General features: G+C 38.1%; 1 long non-coding RNA gene across 3 annotated transcripts in view; it reads left to right on the top strand.

Moving 5' to 3' along the window:
* The first annotated feature begins 5853 nt into the window (after positions 1–5853).
* The window catches only part of LNCPOIR (lncRNA periodontal mesenchymal stem cell osteogenesis related), a 68396-nt gene continuing 52303 nt past the window's right edge, over positions 5854–21946 (top strand). For 2 of the 3 annotated variants that reach the window (NR_183487.1, NR_183489.1), the window contains exons 1-2: positions 5854–5930; positions 7253–7381. This is a non-coding gene — a long non-coding RNA (lncRNA periodontal mesenchymal stem cell osteogenesis related). Of the gene's footprint in view, positions 5931–7252; positions 7382–15107; positions 15459–21946 lie in introns of all 3 variants that reach the window. The other variant, NR_183488.1, reaches the window with a different exon arrangement.

Raw genomic sequence — 21946 nt, 5'->3', positions numbered from 1 at the left:
ATGAATATTATAAACAATATTGACACAATGTTATTATTCCAATTGATATTATAAACTCCATACTTGTAAAATATTACCATATCAATATTGATAAACTGTGTGGCACAGGGAAAATACCCTCTAAAGGATCCATATTATAATAAGGCAGCTCTAAGAAAAATTGTGAAATTAGCAAAGCTTGCTTGGTACTCAAGAGTTCCATTGACCATTCCATATCCTCCCTTCTGAAACATCATCATATTAAGAAAAAGTACTTCCATGTAATATAGTCAACAAAACTTTTATTGTCTTCACTCAAAAGGAGGACTAAAAAGTAGTGATTTTTGACAATGTGGCAGGCAGATGGAAGGTGGCATTTTTGGAATGAGTATTTTGATATATGTCAAGTCATACCATGGAAGTAACCACCCAATCTGTCTACTCAGTCTCAGCTTCAAAGGCAATTTCTTATTATTATTTCTCCTTCATTTTATTGCAGCTAACTGCTTCCCACTCCACTCCAGTCTTAACTGGCAATTCTACAAAACTACAAATCACTTTCAAGGGTTAAGTGAGAGAAAGAGAAGAGTTACTAAGCAGGGATTTAGCCAATCAATGGTTATTTAATAACCACTGACTACTCAGTTCAATTCAACTAACATGAGTTATGACAGGCCCTATGGATGGGTGTAATTATAAGAATGTTCTTGTGCTCTAGGGACATACTATCTGGCTGCAGATATTAGAGTTAACCACATCAATCAGTTAGGGAATAATAGTAATAACAATAGGTACTTTGAGCCCTTGCTATGCTTAAAGATCTAAATGTACTACGTTCAATATCTACAACAAACTTACGAAGTAGGTATTTTTATACTAATGTTACAGAAGAAGAAATGAGTTCAGACCGGTTAAGTAGATTTTTCAGTATATGATGGTGTATAATGTTGAAAGAGATTATATTAACTATGAACATGATGCTATATATGAATGCAGGTACCATTGATATTCTGAAAGGCTACAATGCAATGAATAATAGCTAGATGACAGCACAGCATCTGAAAAGGATAAATGTCATGGTATAGAAAATGGAAAAGGACCAATTAAAATAATTGATACATTAGTCAAAGGATGCATCCATTTTGATTATATCAAATATACAAGTATTTATGGAGTACCTATTGTGGTCAAGACACCATGTTAAATACTATGGAGGGAAATAAAGATTCTAAGGGGCATTTGCAACCTAGGTAGGATGGGAAGAAGGGAAGAGGAAAATTAAGTAATCAAAGATTCAAAGTACCATTTAATTATTGGAGACAAGAATGTTCATAGCAGTGTTGTTAATATAACCAAAAAAAACTGGAGAAAACCAAAATATATTCCAGTAGGAAATCAGATCAATTGTAGAGTATTCATAAAATAAAAAATTTTACAGCAGCAAAATACATTAGCTACTGCTGTATATAACAACATGTATGACCTTCACAAACAAAGTGTTGAGGAACAAAAACCAATTGTTTTTAAAAAACGGAGGATACATATAGTAAGGTACCATTTATATAAACTTTGAAAATGTTAAGCTTTAAAAATATATAGTTTTTAGGGATACATATGTAATGAATGTATTATGAAAACCAAAATTTCTGGCAGAAAGTAAGAGGAATGCACTAGGAAAAGGATACATTGTAGTTTCAATTATGTTGGGAATTTTCTATATACTAAGTGTATACTTAATAGTCTACATAGTATACAAAACATATATAGATCAATTATTTGAATGCATGTATTTAAAAATAAAATTTAAAATCAATTTAAGGTAGTTGTAGATAATAATATACAACAGCATGAATTGCCAAAAAAAAAAACTGCTAATAACTTAATTCTCAATCTTCAACTCAGTTCTTGAGGTAGATGCTATTATCTTCATATTATAGATGAGAACTATAAGCCACAGGGGCATTTAGGCTGTCTGATTCCAGAGCCCAGATAGTAATTGCTGCAGAAATTCAGACAGACATATCTGGGGTGGAGAGGCCAGGATGACCTTTACAGAAAGGTGTGCTTTATGGAAAGTTGGGTTTACATAGAGTGAATCAGTGATTCACTTCAACCTCTAAAACAAAATTTGTTTTCTAATCCATGGAAATCTTTGTTTAGTTAGATATTCTGGGGAGAGGATATTATAAAACCCATGAAAGAAGAACAGCTCTGAGAACAAGGTGAAAATCCTCTCTCAACCTTCACCCTCAGCACTGCCACACTCCAAATGCTCATCAGATAAGATAAGCTCGATCTTCTCCTTTTTTGCCCATGACTTCCTTGACAGATGTTAAGGTTCATCATCAGATATTACTGACCAAGGTGCTTGGGATGCCATTTCTGGTAGATGCTGTATGAATGTGTTTATTTTCCTATATGTTGCAAGATCTAGAGCGCCAAGAGTTGTGAGTAAAAGGAACAATGCCCAGGTCGAAAAGCAAGAGGCAGCCTGGAAGGCCCTGTGGGATCTGATGTAGTTCACCAGGAGTGTGGCTTCCTCACAGGAGCTTGGGACCACAGCCTCCAAGAAGCTAGTAATGATTTCCCTCAAAAGTCCACTCTGCATATTTCTGTCTTAATTATGTAGCAGAATCAAGCAATTAGTCCTGGATTTGGGGCCGAGGGTGGGGGCAGAGGGCTATTTTTATGTAAATATCCTTTCATCTGGACTCACAAAGAAAAATCAAAGGAAGATGTCATTTTGGATCAAACAATATAATCAAACAAAATAAACACAAAACAGAGATAGTACAATATGTACCTAAGAAACATCTAGTAAGCCATTTTGTCTAGTGTGAAGAGTTTAATAAAGCTGGAAATGCTAGCTGATTAAAAAGAAAGCTAATTAGTTTAAATTTTTATCCACAAAGCAATGGGAAGATACCGAGATATTTTCAGCAAGGGAGCTTCCTGTGGTCAGAGTAACATAGCTTGGTTTCTTCTCCACCAGTAATTTTCCATTCTTTCCAAGAGTAAAAACTGTTACCTATAACCGATACCATATTTAGGGTGAGGAAAAAGTAGAAAACATAAAATAGAGAAATAGTAATCATAAAACCTAATGAAAAATAAATCTCAAAAACAGTTTCATTTGCACCTTAAAGTTCAAAGCCAAGCTGAAATTGTAAGGAATGTATCCACTGACAAACATTCTTCTTTGCCAAGTGTTTGGGGTGTGAGAGAATTATTGCAAAGGGGAATAAAGGTCGTTCCAGATGCAATCCAAGAAAACTGCTGTCTATTGGTGTCTATCTATAAATGCCTTCTCAACATTTAATTAAATAGCAAATGTTATTTTCAGTGTCAAATTCTGCAGATTATGAGAATATTTTTACAGCAGTGCACTTTTCTAACATGTATATAAACAATTCAGCATTTGATCTATTTGATGCCAAGCAACTTTGACCTTCACAATGCTGACATCTTGTTTTGTTAAGGCATAGGCACAGTTTATACCATAAAAGAGATTTAATTGCAGGTCTTATTAATTCACAATTTCTGCTGTGTTTGAAGATTTTTACATTTCCTTTGAATTGAAATTTAAAAGGGAGAAGTGTGCACATAGCATGTTATTGCAAAAGTGGCCCATTCCCTTCTCTGAGCTATAACACTTAAAGAAGAGAGTATTTGAAAAACATCAGAGTGCTTAAAGAATATTATTTCTGAAATTTTAATTATACTGGATAATAATGGAAAATTAAAATCACTTTCAATGTGATTTTATTATTCATTTTGCTATTGTAGGAGACAATTGTAGTTTGGTTTACCAGAACAGAAAAATAAAAATCCACATCTGTAACTGGAAAAGAGCTCCTTTGAATTCTTCCTTCTTTTTAATAACCATTATTAACAATATTTTAGCAAGACACTCCTTGTCACAGGTGCTCTTAAAATCCTGAATTCTATGGGAAAACAAAATATAATTCCTATTATTTTAAGGTAGACAATTTTAGCATTGTTAGATAAGGCATGAGAATACACATGACTCCTTAACATCTGACACTCTAAACTATCAATGAAAAACAATAACTTATTTTGAAGTAAGATAACATTATATCACTGTATATTAGTTTTGGGTGAGAAGAAATAGTTTATTAATTATTTATTCTGAATGTATCAAGAAAAGCAATTTTAAAACATGCTGTAAATAGGGTTCACATAATTCTTAATTTATTCTTCATACTCTGAGATGAAATAAATGTTATGAGTTCATTGTATATTTACCAGTGAGTAGATTTACTAGCATAGTTACTGAATTGTATAATGCACAGTTTAAGTTTATATTTCTTCTTATATGATTTTATTTATTTATTTATTTATTTATTTATTTTAGAGAGAGGATCTCTGTCTGTCACCCAGGCTGGAATGCAGTTATACAATCATAGCTCACTGCAGTCTCAAACTCCAAGCTCAAGCTATGCTCTTTCCTCAGCCTTCTGAGTAGCTAGGATTACAGGCATAGCCCATTATTCCTGGCTAATTTCGAATTCTTGTAGAGACAGGATCTCGCTATGTTGCCCAAGTTATGCTCAAACTCCTGTCTCAAATGATCCTCCTCCCTCAGCCTCCAAAACCTGGGATAACAGGTATGAGCCATGGCACCCAGCCTTAGTATATAATTTCTTATTAACAACTTAATCTAATTTAAAAATATCTATTTTCCAATCTTAGGTGTTAGAAATTATAGTATCCCATCCTTTACTTAATGGCTATTTCTGCATATATATATATATATTTAGTTAGGATATACTTATTATTCAGCCAACTGGCTTGACAAAACAGTGGTAGAATTGTTGGGTTGACACCTCTAAAATGCTGCCAGAGGAACTGTTTGCATGACTCTAGATAAAAGCAGAAAAAAAAAAACAAAATATAAGTTTTTGTTCAGTTATCCCACTAGTATTCATCAGAAATGTGCCCTAATATAGTAACATTTGGATACCTAAAAATGGAGAATGTGGCAATCCCTGAGTAGAACATATTATGAGCAGTCATCACACACCTTTATGCTCACTGTAATCAATGTAGGCCTTTATGTGCAATAGCCAATAGACCTCATCTTTCCCACAAACTTTGGGATGTCCTCCATCAGTCAGCAGCATCATCATTAACCCAACTTTCTAAACCAAAGAGATAGGAAGAAGCACTCTTGATGCCTCATTCTCCCTCACCTCTCATATATAAATATCACAAAGTTGTGTCCATTTTACCACCTAATTATTTTCAAAATCTCCTCATTCTTCTCATCAAGAGTCTGTTACTCTTGCTCAGACCACAGGGTTTACAGCACACTCCCTTAACTGGGCTCATTGCCTCCACCTTTATTCTTCTCTAAGATGTTCTCCACACTGCAGCCAGAAACATCTTTCTGACATGGAACTCTGATCAAGTTACTCCACCACTTATGCATCCTAGTGATTCCCCAATACCCACAAGATAAAGTTCCCAAGGCACTATGACCCCTGATTCCTTCTCTATCTTCAGCAATTCCATTGACCTCTTTCATTCTCTAATTCCTGTCATACTGAACCATCCACATTTCTCCCTATACCCGTGGTCTATCTCAACGCTGAACACTTCGATCATACTGTACTCTCTGCCTGAAATGTCCTCCTGCTCTCTCACACCACATTTGCCTAGGCAACTACAGCTCATCTTTCAGAATCCAGCTTAGAATTCCACTAACTTGACCTTCTCAGAAACTTCCCAAGACTTGGTTAAGTACTCCCTTCTTTGACCCTCCATTGCATCCCCATGGTTACCTCTGCCATAGAACTTATGACATTATGTCATTGTTACCTGTTTACTTGTGTCTCTGTATCCTGCTGGACTATATGCCCTTTAAAGCAAGTAGAGCACATTACTCATCACTCAATCTCCAGGACCAAGTTAATGTTCTGTATATAGTAGTAAGTCAACAAATATAGACAAATAGATTAAAGATTAATTTGTAGCCCAAGGTGACATTCTAGAGAAAACACTTTAAAATAAGTTTGAAAAAAAGAAATGAATGTAAGAAAAATACAACTCCTTGTTCAGTATTAAGGCATATGCTACTAAATATTTGTATGTTTATGCCTTGCCTTACCTTCTTTCAAAAATAGTTTGAAGTGGTTTACAATAAACATGTATTTACATACTTTATCTCAGACTGATATTTTTTAGGCATGATTTTTTTTCATATGGCTTCCCTGTGTTGTTATGCATGACTAGGTAAAGCTAATATTAGGATGCAAGAATTACCTGGTTTGTCTATTCCTTCTTTCAGTTACCATAATCCAGTGAATTTGAAATTTTAAAGAAAGACAGCATTCCCAATGGCCCTAGTACTTAGATTATTTTTACAAAGTGTTCTAGTAAATCTTACCTAAGCACAATATAGTAATATTTCACATCAACTTTCAAATTACTAAATATTAAATTTTACTAATCTTTTAAACCTTTTTGCTGTTCCCATTTCCTTTACCCTGGTTCTACTGTCATAAATAATCTACTTCAAATCCTAACAAAATGCATCCAATAATGTGACATTTGTATCTGAAATAAGCAATTTCACATCCTTATTTTGTCTGAGATTTTGTTAATTATTAATGATATTTTGGATGTGACCATATAATTTTAAAACTTATGAAACTGCATCTTTATTACTTTCATTTGAACTAAGATGTGTGTTAAGTATCAAAGTGTATGATTTTCAAGAATGGCGCTATAATATGTTTGTTTTCCCCAATAACTAATTCATCACTAAACCCCATTTTAATGTTCACAGCTGACCCAGCATACCTGGAGACATTTGTTTCTCATAGAACTTGTTTAGATAGATTAGTGTGGTTGGCTGGAATCTGGGAGAGCCACTTCAACACAAATTGTATTTATGGTGACCACTGAACAACACAGATGAGCCGAAGGTTACAGACTTTTAGATAGAATTCTCTGCAGTGTGTTGCAATGTGTCACATGACCATGCATCTTCTACACGTTAAGACATCAGTGCTCTGGCTTTGATGCTAGTTTTTTCTTCTTCCCCCTGTCTTTGGCTGTAAGGGGCAAACAAAATCAACTATACCATTAATAACTACAGCAGATTTCAGTAGAGGTCAGGGAAACTCTTTCCTGTCACTGTTTTTCAATATTTGTACTATTTACACTTTAGGCTAGTTAATTGTTTGTGTTGGGGGCTGACTTTTGCATTATAGAATGTTTAGCAGCATTCCTGTTCTCTACCCACTAGATGTCGACAGCAACATCTCCCCCAGGTGTAACAACTAAACGTGTCTCCAGACATTGGCAAATATCCTTGGGCCATGGAGAAAACATCACCTTCAATTGAAAACCACTGGGCCACTCTAATGCCTTCAAGGTAAGGAGTCCTAGTCAAGCTTATGTTTCATAACTGGCATGTCTTCTGGCTCAAATGTAGTTTTCTAAATATTTAATGTTTATGTTTATATAATTCTAATGCTCAAACCATGCTATGTTCTGTTTGCTTGCATTTTTGATCCTAACATAAAATCTATCCAAGAGAGTGTTTCTCTTGTTATTTCCAGCTAAAGCCAATCTCTGTACCACTCCTATTCCCTTTCACTCATTCAGGAACATTGTTTCAATGATTTGTTCCCTCTCTCTCTCTCTCTTTTTTTTTTTTTTAAGACATAGTTGTTGCCCAGGCTGGAGTGCAGTGGCACAATCTTGGCTCACTGCAACCTCTGCCTCCCAGGTTCAAGCGATTCTCCTGCCTCAGCCTCCCGAGTATCTGGGACTACAGGTGCCCACCACTACGCCCAGCTAATTTTTGTATTTTTAGTAGAGATGAGTTTCACTATGTTGGTCAGGCTGGTCTCCAACTCGTGACCTCAAGCAATCCACCCGCCTTGGCCGCCAAAAGTGCTGGGATTACAGGCGTGAGCCACCGCGCCCAGCCCTCTCTCTCTTACATGGAAATTTTTCCCCTCTCTATTGAATCATTACCAGAATATAATATGCTGATCTCACATATATGTGAAATTTTAAAAAGTTACATTCACAGAGGCAGAGAGTACAATGGTGGTTACCAGGGGCTGGAGAAGGGGGATGGACAGATGTTGGTCAAAGGATCCAAAATTTTGGTTAGATACAAGAAATACATTCAAGAGTTCTATTATACAACACGGTGACTATAGTTAATAACAATGCATTATATTTTTGAAAATTGCTGAGAGAGTAGATTTTAATTGTTCTCACCACCAAAAAAAAGTAAGATAATGCACATGTTAATTATCTGGATTTAGCATTCCACAATGTATAAATATTTCTGAATATCAGGTTGAACAAAATAAATATATGCAATTTTCATTTGTCAATTTAAATAAATGTTTTTAAAAAAGAATATATCATGCTGTTATTCATGTCATCTTCAAAAATAAATTAAAAATATATGATTTTAAAACTATCTATTGCCCCTACATCTCCCAGATACTGGGCCATATCTTCCTCGCATTTGAGAAAACCCTTCAAAAGTTCTGAAGATTCACTCTTACTAATTCTTTCTTCTCATATGCTATCGAATCTACTCCAATTAGGCACATACAGTGTCCAAAACAGTACAAACCACAGGAAATAAATTACAGTGCTATGGTTGTGCAGGACCCTCTTTCACATTCCTCAAACTGTCAGGACCTCTATTTTCTTCACCAACAAGAACTCTGGCCCAGGTAGCAAAGTGACTAGACCATAGACTGTACTAACATCTCCATGTGTTGCTTTCATCTCCAGGTCCTCTATAAGTTTCTCACTTCTGGGCAGGAAGTGTTTTAATATCTTCCCTTCTATGTAAAAAAATGCTCCATGTCATAACCTGCATCCTCCCACTAAGTGGTTCCACAAAGCACTGCCAATATAAGTCAAATCTAAAGCCATTTTTCTCTCAGTGAGAGGTGACAGCACGCTGACAGCCCTCGCAGCCCTCACTCACTCTCAATGCCTCCTTGGCCTCGGCGCCCATTCTGGCCGCACTTGAGGAGCCCTTCAGCCCACCACTGCACCGTGTGAGCCCTTCTCTGGGCTGGCCGAGGCCCGAGCTGGCTCCGTCCGCTTGCAGGGAGGTGTGGAGGGAGAGGCACAGGCAGGAACTGGGGCTGCCTGCGGCGCTTGCGGGCCTGCACGAGTTCCAGGTGGGTGTGGGCTCCGCAGGCCCCTCACTTGGAGCAGCCAGCCGGCCCGCCGGCCCCACCTGCCAAAGGGAATGAGGGGCTTAGCACCCGGGCCAGCAGCTGCGGAGGGTGAGCCGGGTCCCCCAGTAGTGCTGGCCCACTGGGGCTGAGGAGTGCAGGTGAAAGGTGCGGGACTGGCAGGCAGCTCCACCTGCGGCCCTGGTGCAGGATCCACTGGGTGAAGCCAGCTGGGCTCCTGAGTCTAGTGGGGACTTGGAGAACCTTTATGTCTAGCTAAGGGATTGTGAATGCACCAATCGGCACTCTGTATCTAGCTCAAGGTTTGTAAACATACCAATCAGCACCCTGTGTCTAGGTCAGGGTTTGTGAATGCACCAATTGGCACTCTGTATCTAGTTAATTGGGTTGGGACTTGGAGAACCTTTATGTCTAGCTAAGAGATTGTAAATACACCAATCAGCACTCTGTATCTAGCTCAAGGTTTGTAAACACACCAATCAGCACTCTTTATCTAGCTCAAGGTTTGTAAACACACCAATCAGCACCCTGTGTCTAGCTCAGGGTTTGTGGATGCACCAATTGGCACTCTGTATCTAGTTAATCTGGTGGAGACTTGCAGAATCTTTATGTCTAGCTAAGGGATTGTGGATGCACCAGTCGGCACTCTGTATCTAGATCAAGGTTTGTAAATGCACAAATCAGCACTCTGTGTCTAGCTCAGGGTTTGTAAATACACCAGTCGACATCTGTATCTAGCTAATCTAGCAGGGAGGTGGAGAACTTTTGTGTCTAGCGCAGGGATTGTAAACGCACCAATCAGCACCCTGTCAAAACAGACCAATCAGCTCTCTGTAAAACAGACCAATCAACTCTCTGTAAAATGGACAAATCAGCAGGATGTGGGCGGGGGCCAGATAAGAGAATAAAAGCAGGCTGCCCCAGACAGCAGTGGCAACCCACTCGGGTCCCCTTCCACACTAGTGGAAGGTTTGTTCTTTCACTCTTTGGGTCCACGCTGCCTTTATGAGTTGTAACACTCGCGGCGAAGGTCTGCAGCTTCACTCCTGAAGCCAGTGAAACCAGAAACCCACCAGGAGGAGCGAACAACTCCACACGCGCCACCTTAAGAGGTGTAACACTCACCACAGAGGTCTGCAGCTTCACTCCTGAGCCAGCGAGACCACGAACCCACCAGAAGGAAGAAACTGAACACAGCTGAACATCAGAAGGAAAAAACTCCGGACACGCCACCCTTAAGAACTGTAACACTCACCGCAAGAGCCCGTGGCTTCATTTTTGAAGTCAGTGAGACCAAGAAGCTACCAATTCCAGACACATCAAGTGTTTGGTTCTTGCCAATCAAATGCAACTTGTCTTACAGCCATTCTGTTTGTTGGAGGTTTAAATTGAATCCTTCTGTTGACTCAATTAAAGTGTTTGGTCTCAGCTGTCTCTACTAGTCTCTTCTTCTCATTTTCAATGGCAGTAAGTCTTAGCTTCACAGCCTGAGAGGTGGAATGTTTCTTGAAAGACAGAAAGAAAAAAATAATAATTACCAGGAAAGAATCTCTAGGTGGTATTTCAAAGCATCATTATCCTGCTGTGCATTAGCATCCTCCAATATTTATTACCCTGTAGCTCCAAGGAAAAGATATAAGACATGAAGACACGGAAAGGATGGTAGGTGGAAATGTTTCTTAGCTATTGGGTATGAGGGGAAGTATAGAACTCTTCAGGGCTTCTGTTCATTCTCTTTGTAGTTCTGGTTAGTAACTGGAACTTACTATCCAAGACAATGCCCAAACTGGCGTTCTCTAATATATATAGTGCATATGGAACCAAGTTCTGTGCTTCCTTCTTCCCTAGTAATCCATGGTCGTTATACTTCATTTGACTTGTGGCATCCTGCCCCATAAACAAACAAGAAAAGTAGATCAGCCCCCGCCCTCTGACTCCCATCACAAACAGAAGTACTTCAGAGACTTCTCTTTTTTCAGACTATATATAGGTGAAATGCCAAACTCTAGCTACAGTGAAACTCAACTATGAAATGTCTGTGTCTAACTAGAATTTTTGCCTTGGAGTTTGCGTATTGTTGTTAGTATGGAGAGAGTTATCATTATGAGTGTCACACAGCTTCAACGTATGGTCCAGTTCCTGAGAAGTTGAGCATCTGGAAATGATACCTAAACATATTAGGATGATGGAAATTTTCATTCCTAACAATAGGTGGTACATTCCATGGAGATAGGCAGTGTGTGTTTTTGTGACAGCACTTCAGCACATCTAGAAATGAAACACTGGGCTAAATTTGATTTTGCTTCACTTTAAATTCTCATCTGAAAGAGATCTGCCATTTTCATCACATTAAAATAAATCACAGATTTACTATTTTCTTTGTTGCTATCACTTGTTAATTGAATCACAATGTGGTTGTATTTATTAGGTTACAAACTATACCTTTTGGGGAAGAACAAGTTCTGCATTCGAACATGTTTACTTGATGTTTTCCCTCCCATCTTCCTTAAGGGGGGATATAATTAAATGTAACAAAGCAAAAGGCAAGTCAACGTGAGGAGAAAACATTGTAAGAAAATTTCTTCCAGCTGAATAAAGCTGTAACATTCTAAAGGCAGACAAATTGCTACAGATGAAACACTAACTTGAATATAAAATAAGATCTAAAACTAGGAGATTTTACTTTTCAACCTCTTTCCTTGGACTTTCAAAATTGTCTAAAACATAATGAAACGTTAAGAGAATTACATTCTCTTCCTAATCTACCCAACCATTTCCCTACCACCAACCTAAAAGCGCTCAGATTTTATTTATGAGCCAATGTCAAAGTAGCAGGACTCCAATAATTGAAAATGTGTCATAGCCTAGATCTGTGCTACCCAATGTATGTACCACTAGGCACATCTATTTTATCTATTTAAAATTTTAAATCATTAATTTATAATTAAAATTAAATTAAGAATTTAATCCCTCACTAGCCACATTTCCAGTGCTTTGATAGCGACCTGTAGCTAATGCTTACCATATAGGGCAGCATAGATATAGATTTCATCATCAGAGAATGTTCCATTGCGTAAAACTGTTGTAGCTGCACATTAGATGATAGTCTACCTTTTTAATGATCTTCTATGAAGCACTGTCCAACAAGACTTTTTGTGGTGACAGAATTATTCTTTCATTACAATTAGCCACAGCAGAAACCAGAAACAATAGCAGGAGACTTCCTGAGGCTGCTCTATGAGTAGACTAAAAAATACCACCTCTGTGGTGTGACTGAACACATATCAAAATACTATTTAAAAATTTTCCCCTCTTGCCTGCCTGCACAGTCTAAAATTTTCATTTTTAGTCTGCTGAGTTAATACAATAAAATTATGTTACATAGAAGTGGTAATCCATACAAATTGTTATCACTTTAGTCCCAAACACAACTTCCTGTGAAGGTTGATAATCTATAATTGCATTGTGCAGCATGACAGCCGCTAGTCTCATTGACTGTTCAGTACTTGAACCATGCCTAGTACAGCTAGGAAAATGAATTTTAAATTTTATTTAATTTCAATGGAAATAGACACGTGGCTCCTATCATGTTAGACAGCAAAGTCTATAGGAAAGAGCTGAAAAAATTAATAGGCACGTTAGAGAGTGTGCTAGACTAAAAGATGGCTCCCAAGATTTCCAAACTCTGGTATGATTCAGGAATCACACCCTGTCTGATTCCTTTTCCTTGATTGTGGGCAGGACTTGTGAATGTGATGGGATTTCACACTAATGAGTAGGTTACTAGTCAGCCAGTTTTGACTTAATTGAAAGAGATTATCCTGGATGGGCCTGACCTCATCAGGTGAGTGCTTATAAAAGACTATGAAGATATTTGAACCTGAGAGAGTTTCTCTAGCTGGCCTTGGTGAAACAAACTTCTGTGTTATGGAGAGGGCAAGGGACAACAGGTAAGCTCGAAGAGCTGAGAGTAGTTCCCAAGTAGCCAACAAGAAAATGCGGCCTCAGGCTGGGCGCGGTGGCTCACACCTGTAATCCCAGCACTTTGGGAGGCCAAGGCGGGCGGATCACGAGGTCAGGAGATTGAGACCGTCCTGGCTAACATGGTGAAACCCCGTCTCTACTAAAAAGACAAAAAATTAGCCAGGCGTGGTGGTGGGTGCCTGTAGTCCCAGCTACTCGGGAGGCAGAGGCAGGAGAATGGCGTGAACTGGGGAGGAGGAGCTTGCAGTGAGCCGAGATAGCATCACTGCACTCCAGCCTGGGCGACAGAGCGAGACTCCATCTCAAACAAACAAAAAAAAAAAAAAAGAAAGAAAATGCGGCCTCAGTTCTATAGTTGCAAGGACCTGGATTCTGCCAACAACCTGAACAAGCTTGGAAAAGGATCCCTGGCCTTTGATGATATCATGGCCCACCAACACCTTGATTACAATTTCATACGACCCAAAAAAAAAAGGGCTCAGGTAACCAGCACTTGGACTCCTAATTCACAGAAACTGTGAGACAATAGGTATATGTTGTTTTAAGCCACAGAGTTTGTGGTACTAACAGCAACAGAAAACTAGTACAGAGAGTTTATGCATTAGCTATTTAAGGGAACATGTCTTTTAAAATTTTTCAGCAGAACACATCAATTTATAAAACAATGTTTTCTGTTACTAACTGCTTCTTAAAGTAGATATTAAGGATTTTTTTGGCAAAACTTGATAGCATGATTTTTGTGACCTGGAGGAGGAAGATGAGAAAAAAGAAAAGGAAAACTTCTTGGCAATGACAACAGTGGTAATTATGACAATAACGGTGTACAAAGTGATGGCGCTGATGATGCTGATGACAAAATACACGTTTACTAATTCATGTCATGCTTTAAATAATTCGTGTGACCAGTGAAATTATACCCTACATATTTATCTCAATGGACAATATAAGATTACTGAGAAGATTTTTCTTGTCATCAATAAGGGAGAGACCATCTTAGAATCAGACATCATTGTTTTTATTCATTAGGTAATAACCAGTGTGTAAAACACATGATCTGGATCCAAAACATTATATGTTTAAGACTTGAACGAAAACAAAGCATAAGCATTTTAACAAGAGTTAATATTTAAAATCACATCAAACATTAGTCATTTTTTAATTTAAAAAAGACCATTTCTAACTTATTGGATTGGAGAACTAAAGTCCTGAAGATAACCTTGTCTCTAACTTCAAACAGAAGGAATTATAATGCTAAAAATGATTTTCCCTCTCTTTATTGATTTAGTTTATTCATTTTATAAAATTAAGCTGTATCTGAACTGAAATATATAAAAGGATGTTCACCATGAAAATATATTTCATTACATGTCGATCCAATAAAAACTGACGTTCATATAGCACATAGAGACATAATCTCCCCTCAAAATAAACCTGAAGTAGAATAAAATGTTCTACTTCATAACAAAAAGATAAAATGTAGGTCAGATGTTCAGAGACATAAAAAAAGAAAACATATCTTTATCACTTTATTCAAAAGAACTAAGTATACCAACTCAGTCCCAGTTCTTTGGAACAGAAAGCTGATGTGCTGATGATAAACAGTAAAGCAGATCAGTCTACTAGCCGTCAGACTATTATGATGCTAGTTAGGTTAGTCTGTCTGTCAGTGTCCATAAGACTGTACTTGCCTCAAGACAGAAGTGCACAGATTAGACAATTTCTTGAGGTCCTGAGTTTTTCGTTGCATCAAAACCCTAAACTTACATGGTCCTTGGTACTCATAGGATCTTCCTATTTAAGATCAATTGAAAGGTGTACAACATTTAGGAACCACTTTTTTCTACCTAGCTCATACTTCAAAAAGAGATGTTTTGCTATTCTAATCCTAAACTTTGGGAAAGAGTTGCCTTGCTTCTTTTCTCCTTCCTATTTCAGAGAGAAGCAGCACCTTTCATTGGAGGTAGCTGTATCACAAGACAGCAGCAACAGCCTTAAGTCCTACAGCACACAGCACTGAATAAATGCTTTTGGACAGTTGTCTATCTTCTGCCTCAGAGAAAAGATGGAGTCCCGTTAAGAACATATGTACCTTGTACCTGACATAGAAACTTCCTGTCCTAGATGCTGTAGTATATTGTGGGTATATACTTGGGGATTGAGAGAACAGAAAAAAGGCCGAGGCATCATCCTCTTCTATGACTCTGAGGATCAAAGGCATTTTCTTGTATTTCTTGAACAAAGATTTGTGGAGGACCTACTCTGTGCAGACATTATTAGACAATAAAGGTAAGCACTGCAATAATCATCATCAGAATAAGTTCTTGAGGTCTGTTGTTCAACACTGTTTATGGCTAAGAATATTGTACTATACACTTAAAAATATGTGGAGAGGATGGATCTTATATTATCTGTTCTTACCACAATATAACACAATAGAAAATAAATATCTTACACTTGTTGCCCCAATAAATATATAGGAACAAATTAGGTAATACATACTTTTTGGTAAGTTTTAAAAAGTATTTTACACTTTGGATTAGAGGAGAGATCATGGCGGTGGCAGACGGAGGCAGGGCTAGATTGAAGCTCCGGACAGAGCAGCAGGCAGCTCGCATTGTGAATTTTAACTCCATATCAACAGCAAGAAAAAACCAGCAATCCTGAGAGGACCCACAGACCCTCTGAAGGAAGCAGACTGCTCCTGCAGGACACAGGAGACACCCCCGCAAAACTGTAAGTGCGCCAACTGCGGAAGTGGGAAAGGGAGACCCTCCTCTCAAACACACACCCCCACTGGAGAAGCTGAAAGTCTGTTTGCAGGAGAAGTTTCTGACTTTACCTGGAGCTGAGTACATTTGGAAGCCATGCGAAATACAGTGGTAGAGGAAGCAGCAGAAAGACCCGGGGATCTCGCTGGGTCCCCTAGCAGGCCATTCCTGCCTGGCACCACAGGGATCCAATGGGAGAGAAGCAGGGGGTAAAACCACACAGGAAGAAGCAAATCTCTAGCTGAGTTTTGTAACCATTTGAATAGAGTGAGAAGCCTTCTGGCAGTAACTCAGAGGAAGGCGCAAATCCAGAGTGCAGACTCCACAGGCATGGGAAGAACCAAGCCCCTTTTCTTTCCCAGCTGGGAGGCAGATAGCCTGGGGCAGGTTTTCAAGCCCCTGTGGCTCTCCACCTGGAAAAGGTCTAGGGGCTGTTGGGTGGGCACCGGGAAGTGAGACCAGCCCTTCGGTTTGCATGGAAGCTGGATGAGGCCTGTGACTGCTGGCTTTCCCCTACTTCCCTGACAACCTGCATGAATCAGCAGAGGCAGCCATAATCCTCCTAGGTACACAACTCCAGTGACCTGGGAATCTCACCCCCATCCCCTAAAGCAGCTGCAGCAAGACCAGCCAAGGAAAGTCTGAGCTCAGATACACCTAGCCCTGCCCCCACCTGATGGTCCTTCCCTACCCACCTTGGTAGTGAAAGACAAAAGGCATATAATCTTGGGAGTTCTAGGGTCCCGCCCACCACTGGTTCTTCCCCATAATACCACAGCTGATGCTCTCTTGAAAGTGCCACTGCCTGGCAGGAGGCCAACCAGAACAAAAATAGAACATTAAACCACCAAAGCTAAGAACCCTCATGGAGTCCATTGCACCTCCTGCCACTTCCATGGGAGCAAGCACTGGTATCCATGGCTGAGAGACCCATAGATGGTTCACATCACAGGACTCTGTGCAGACAGCCCCCAGCCTAGAGCGAGGTAGACTCACTGGGTGGCTAGACCCAGAAGTGAGACAACAATCACTGCAGTTTGGCTCACAGGAAGCCACATTTGTAGGAAAAGGAGGAGAGTACTACATCAAGGGAACACTCTGTGGGATAAAAGAATCTGAACAACAGCCTTCAGCTCCAGACCTTCCCTCTGACATAGCCTACCCAAATGAGAAGGAACCAGAAAAGCAACCCTGATAATATGACAAATTGAGGCTCTTCTACCCCCAAAAAAATCACACTAGTTCACCAGCAATGGATCCAAACCAAGAAGAAATCCCCAATCTACCTGAAAAATAATTCAAGAGGTTAGTTATTAAGCTAATCAGGGAGGGACCAGAGAAAGGTGAAGTCCAATGCAAGGAAATCCAAACTATGATACAATAAGTGACAGGAGACATATTCAAGGCAATAGATAGCTTAAATAAAAAACAATCAAAAATTCAGGAAACTTTGGACACACCTGTAGAAGTGTGAAATGTTCTGGAAAGTCTCAGCAATAGAATTGAACAAGTAGAAGAAAGAAATTCAGAGCTCAAAGACAAGGTCTTCAAATTAACCCAATCTAACAAAGACAAAGAAAAAAGAACAAGAAAATATGAACAAACCCTCCAAGAAGTCTTGGATTTCGGTTAAGCAACCAAACCTAAGAATAATCAGTGTTCCTGAGAAATGAAATTTCTAAAAACTTGGAAAATATATTTGGGGGAATAACCGACTACAACTTCCCCGGCCTTGCTAGAGACCTAGACATCAAAACACAAGAAGCACAAAAACACCTGGGAAATTCATCACAAAAAGATGTTTGCATAGGCACATTGTCATCAGGTTATCCAAAGTTAAGATGAAGGAAAGAATCTTAAGAGCTGTGAGACAGAAGCACCAGGTAACCTATAAAGGAAAACCTATCAGATTAACAGTAGATTTCTCAGCAGAAACTCTACAAGCTAGAATGTATTAGGGACCTATCTTCAGTCTCCTCAAACAAAACAATTATCAGCCAAGAATTTTGTATCCAGAGAAACTAATCATCATATGTGAAGGGAAGATTTTCAGACAAACAAATGTTGAGATTATTTGCCACTACCAAGCCACCACTACAAGAACTACTAAAAGGAGCCCTGAATCTTGAAACAAATCCTAGAAACACATCAAAACAGAAATTCTTTAAAGCATAAATCACACAGGACCTATAAAACAAAAATACAAGTTAAAAAACAAAAAACAAAAAACAAAAAAACAAAGTACAGAGGCAACAAAGAGCATGATGAATGCAATGGTACCTAACATGTCAATACTAACATTGAATGTAAATGGCCTAAATGCTCCACTTAATAGATATAGAACCACAGAATGGATAAGAACTCACCAAACAACTATCTGCTGCCTTCAGGAAACTTGCCTAGCACATAAGTACTCACATAAACTTAAAGTAAAGGGGTGGAAAAAATATTTCATGCATATGAACACCAAAAGTGAGCAGGCATAGCTATTCTTATATGAGACCAAACAAACTTTAAAGCAACAGCAGTTAAAAGAGACAAAGAGGGACATTATATAATTGTAAAAGGCCTTGTTCAACAGGAAAATATCACAATCCTAGACATATATGCACCTGACACTAGAGCTCCCAAATGTATAAAACAATTACTAATAGACCTAAGCAATGAGATAGACAGCAACACAATAATAGTGGGGGACTTCAATACTCCCCTGACAGCACTAGACAGGTCATCAGGACAGAAAGTCAACAAAGAATGGATTTAAATTATACCTTGGAACAAATGGATTTAACAGATATATATAAAACATTTCATCCTACAGCCACAAAATACACATTCTATTCAACAGTGCATGGAACTTTCTCAAAGATAGACCATATGATAGGCCATATACAAGCCTCAATAAGTTTAAGAAAATTGAAATTATATCAAGCACTCTCTCAGACCACAGTGGAACAAAACTGGAAACCAACTCCAAAAGGAACCTTCAAAACCATGAAAATACATGGAAATTAAATAACCTGCTCCTGAATGAGCATTGGGTCAAAAGTGAAATCAAGATGGAAATTTAAAAATCCTTTGAACTGAACGACAATAATGACACAACTTATCAAAACCTCTGGATACAGCAAAGGCAGTGCTAAGAGGAAAGTTTTTACCCATAAACACTTACATCAAAAAGACTGAAAGAGTATAAACTGACACTCTAAGGTCACAACTCAAGGAACTAGAGAAACAGGAACAAACCAAACTGAAACCCAGCAGAAGAAAGGAAATAATCAAGATCAGAGCAGAACTAAATGAAATTTGAATAAAAAAATACAAAAGATAAATGAAACAAAAGCTGGTTCGTTGAAAAGATAAATAAAATTGATAGACAATTGGCAAGATTAACCAAGAAAAGAAGAGAGAATATCCAAATAACCTTACTAAGAAACAAAACAGGAGATATTACAACAGACACCACTGAAATACAAAAGATCATTCAACGCTACTATGAACACCTTTATGCACATAAACTAGAAAACCTAGAAGAAATGGATAAATTCATGGAAAAATACAACCCTCCTGGCTTACGTCAGGAAGAATTAGATACCCTGAACAAGCAGCGAGATTGAAATGGTAATTTAAAAATTACCAACAAAAAAATCCAGGACCAGATGGATTCACAGCAGAATCCTACCAGACATTCAAAGAAGAATTGGTACCAATCCTTTTGACACTATTCCACAATATAGAGAAAGAAGGAACCCTCCCTATTCATTTTATGAAGCAAGCATCACCCTAATACCAAAATCAGGAAAGGACATAACCAAAAAAGAGAATTACAGACTGATATCCTTGATGAACACAGATGCTAAAATCCTTAACAAAATACTAGCTAAACGAATCCAACAACATATCAAAACAATAATCCACCATAATCAAGTGGGTTTTATACCAGGGATGCAGGGACAGTTTAACATATGCAAGTCAATAAATGATATACCACATAAACAGAATTAAAAACAAAAATCACATGATCATCTCAATAGATGCAGAAAAAGCATTCGACAAAATCCAGCATCGCTTTATGATAAAAGTCTCTGCAAAATTGGCATATGAGGGACATACATTAATGTAATAAAAGCCATCTGTGACAAACCCATAGCCAACATAATACTGAATGGGGAAAAGTTGAAAGCATTCCCTATGAGAACTGGAAAAAGGCAAGGATGCCCAATCTCACCACTCCTCTTCAACATAGTACTGGGTAAAGGGTAAGTCAAACTGTTACTGTTTGCTGATGATATGACGTTTACCTTGAAAACCCTAAGGGCTCCTCCAGAAAGCTCCTAGAACTGATAAAAGAATTCAGCAAATCTTCCAGATATAAGATTAATGTACACAAATCGGTAGCTCTTCTATAGACCAACAGTGACCAAGCAGAGAATCAAATCAAGAACTCAACCCCTGTTACAGTAAGTGCAAAAACTAAAATAAAATACTTAGGAATACACTGAACCAAGGAGTCAAAAGACCTCTACAAGGAAAACTACAAAACACTTCCGAGAAATCATCGATGACACAAACAAATGGAAACACATCCCATGCTCATGGATGCGTAGAATCAATATTGTGAAAATAACCATACTGCCAAAAGCAATCTACAAATTCAATGCAATCGCCATCGAAATACCACGATCATTTTTCACAGAATTAGAAAAAACAATTCTAAAATTCACATGGAACCAAAAAAGAGCCTGTATAGCCAAAGCAAGACTAAGCAAAAAGAACAAATCTGGAGGCATTACACTACCTGATTTCAAAGTACACTATAAGGCCATAGTCACCAAAACAGCATGGTATTCGTACAAAAATAGGCACATAGACCAATGGAACAGAAGAGAGAATCAAGAAATAAACCCAAATACTTAGAGCCATCTGATCTTCGACAAAACAAACAAAAACATAAAGTGGGGAAAGGGCACCCCTTTCAACAAATGCTGCTGGGATAATTGGCTAGCTACATGTAGGAGAATGAAACTGGACGCTCATCTCTCACCTTATATAAAAATCAACTCAAGATGGATTAAATACTTAAACCTAAGACCTGAAACTATAAAAATTCTAGAAGATAACACTGGAAAAACTCTTCCAGACATTGGCTTAGACAAGGATTTCATGACCTAGAACCCAAAAGCAAATACAATAAAACAAAGATAAATAGCTGGGACCTAATTAAACCAAAGAACTTTTGCACAGCAAAAGGAACAGTTAGCAGAGTAAATAGACAACCCACAGAGTGGAAGAATCTTCGCAATCTATACATCTGACAAAGGACTAATATCCAGAATCAACAACCAACTCAAACAAATCAGTAAGAGGAAACAAAAATCCCATCAAAAAGTGAGCTAAGGACATGAACAGACAATTCTCAAAAGAAGATACATAAATGGCCAACAAACATCTGAAAAAATGCTAAACATCACTAATGACCAGGGAAATGTAAATCAAAACCACAATGCAATACCACCTTACTCTCGTAAGAATGGCCATAATAAAAGAATCAAAAAACAGTAGATGCTGGTGTGGATTTGGTGAACAGGGACAACTTCTACAGTGCTGGTGGAAATGTAAACTAGTACAGCCACTATGGATAGCAGTGTGGAGATTCCTTAAAGAACTAAAAGTAGAATTACCATTTGATCCAACAATCCCATTTCTGGGTATCTACCCAGAGGAAAATAAGTCATTATTCGAAAAAGATACTTGCACATGCATGTCTATAGCAGCACAATTCACCACTGCAAAATCGTGGAACCAACCCAAATGCCCATCAATCAATGAGTGGACAAAGAGTAAAGAAAGTTATATATATATATATATATATATATATATATATATATACACACACACACACACACACATATACACACACACACACATATATGTAATAAAAGCCATATATATTATATATGTAATGGAATTTATATATATATATATATATATATATATATATATAAA

This window comes from Homo sapiens, chromosome 6 (genome assembly GCF_000001405.40).
Source record: "Homo sapiens chromosome 6, GRCh38.p14 Primary Assembly".
In the NCBI taxonomy this organism is placed as follows: domain Eukaryota; kingdom Metazoa; phylum Chordata; class Mammalia; order Primates; family Hominidae; genus Homo; species Homo sapiens.
The sequence above is the reverse complement of the archived record's forward strand: the minus strand, read 5'-3'. Positions and strand labels throughout refer to the sequence as shown.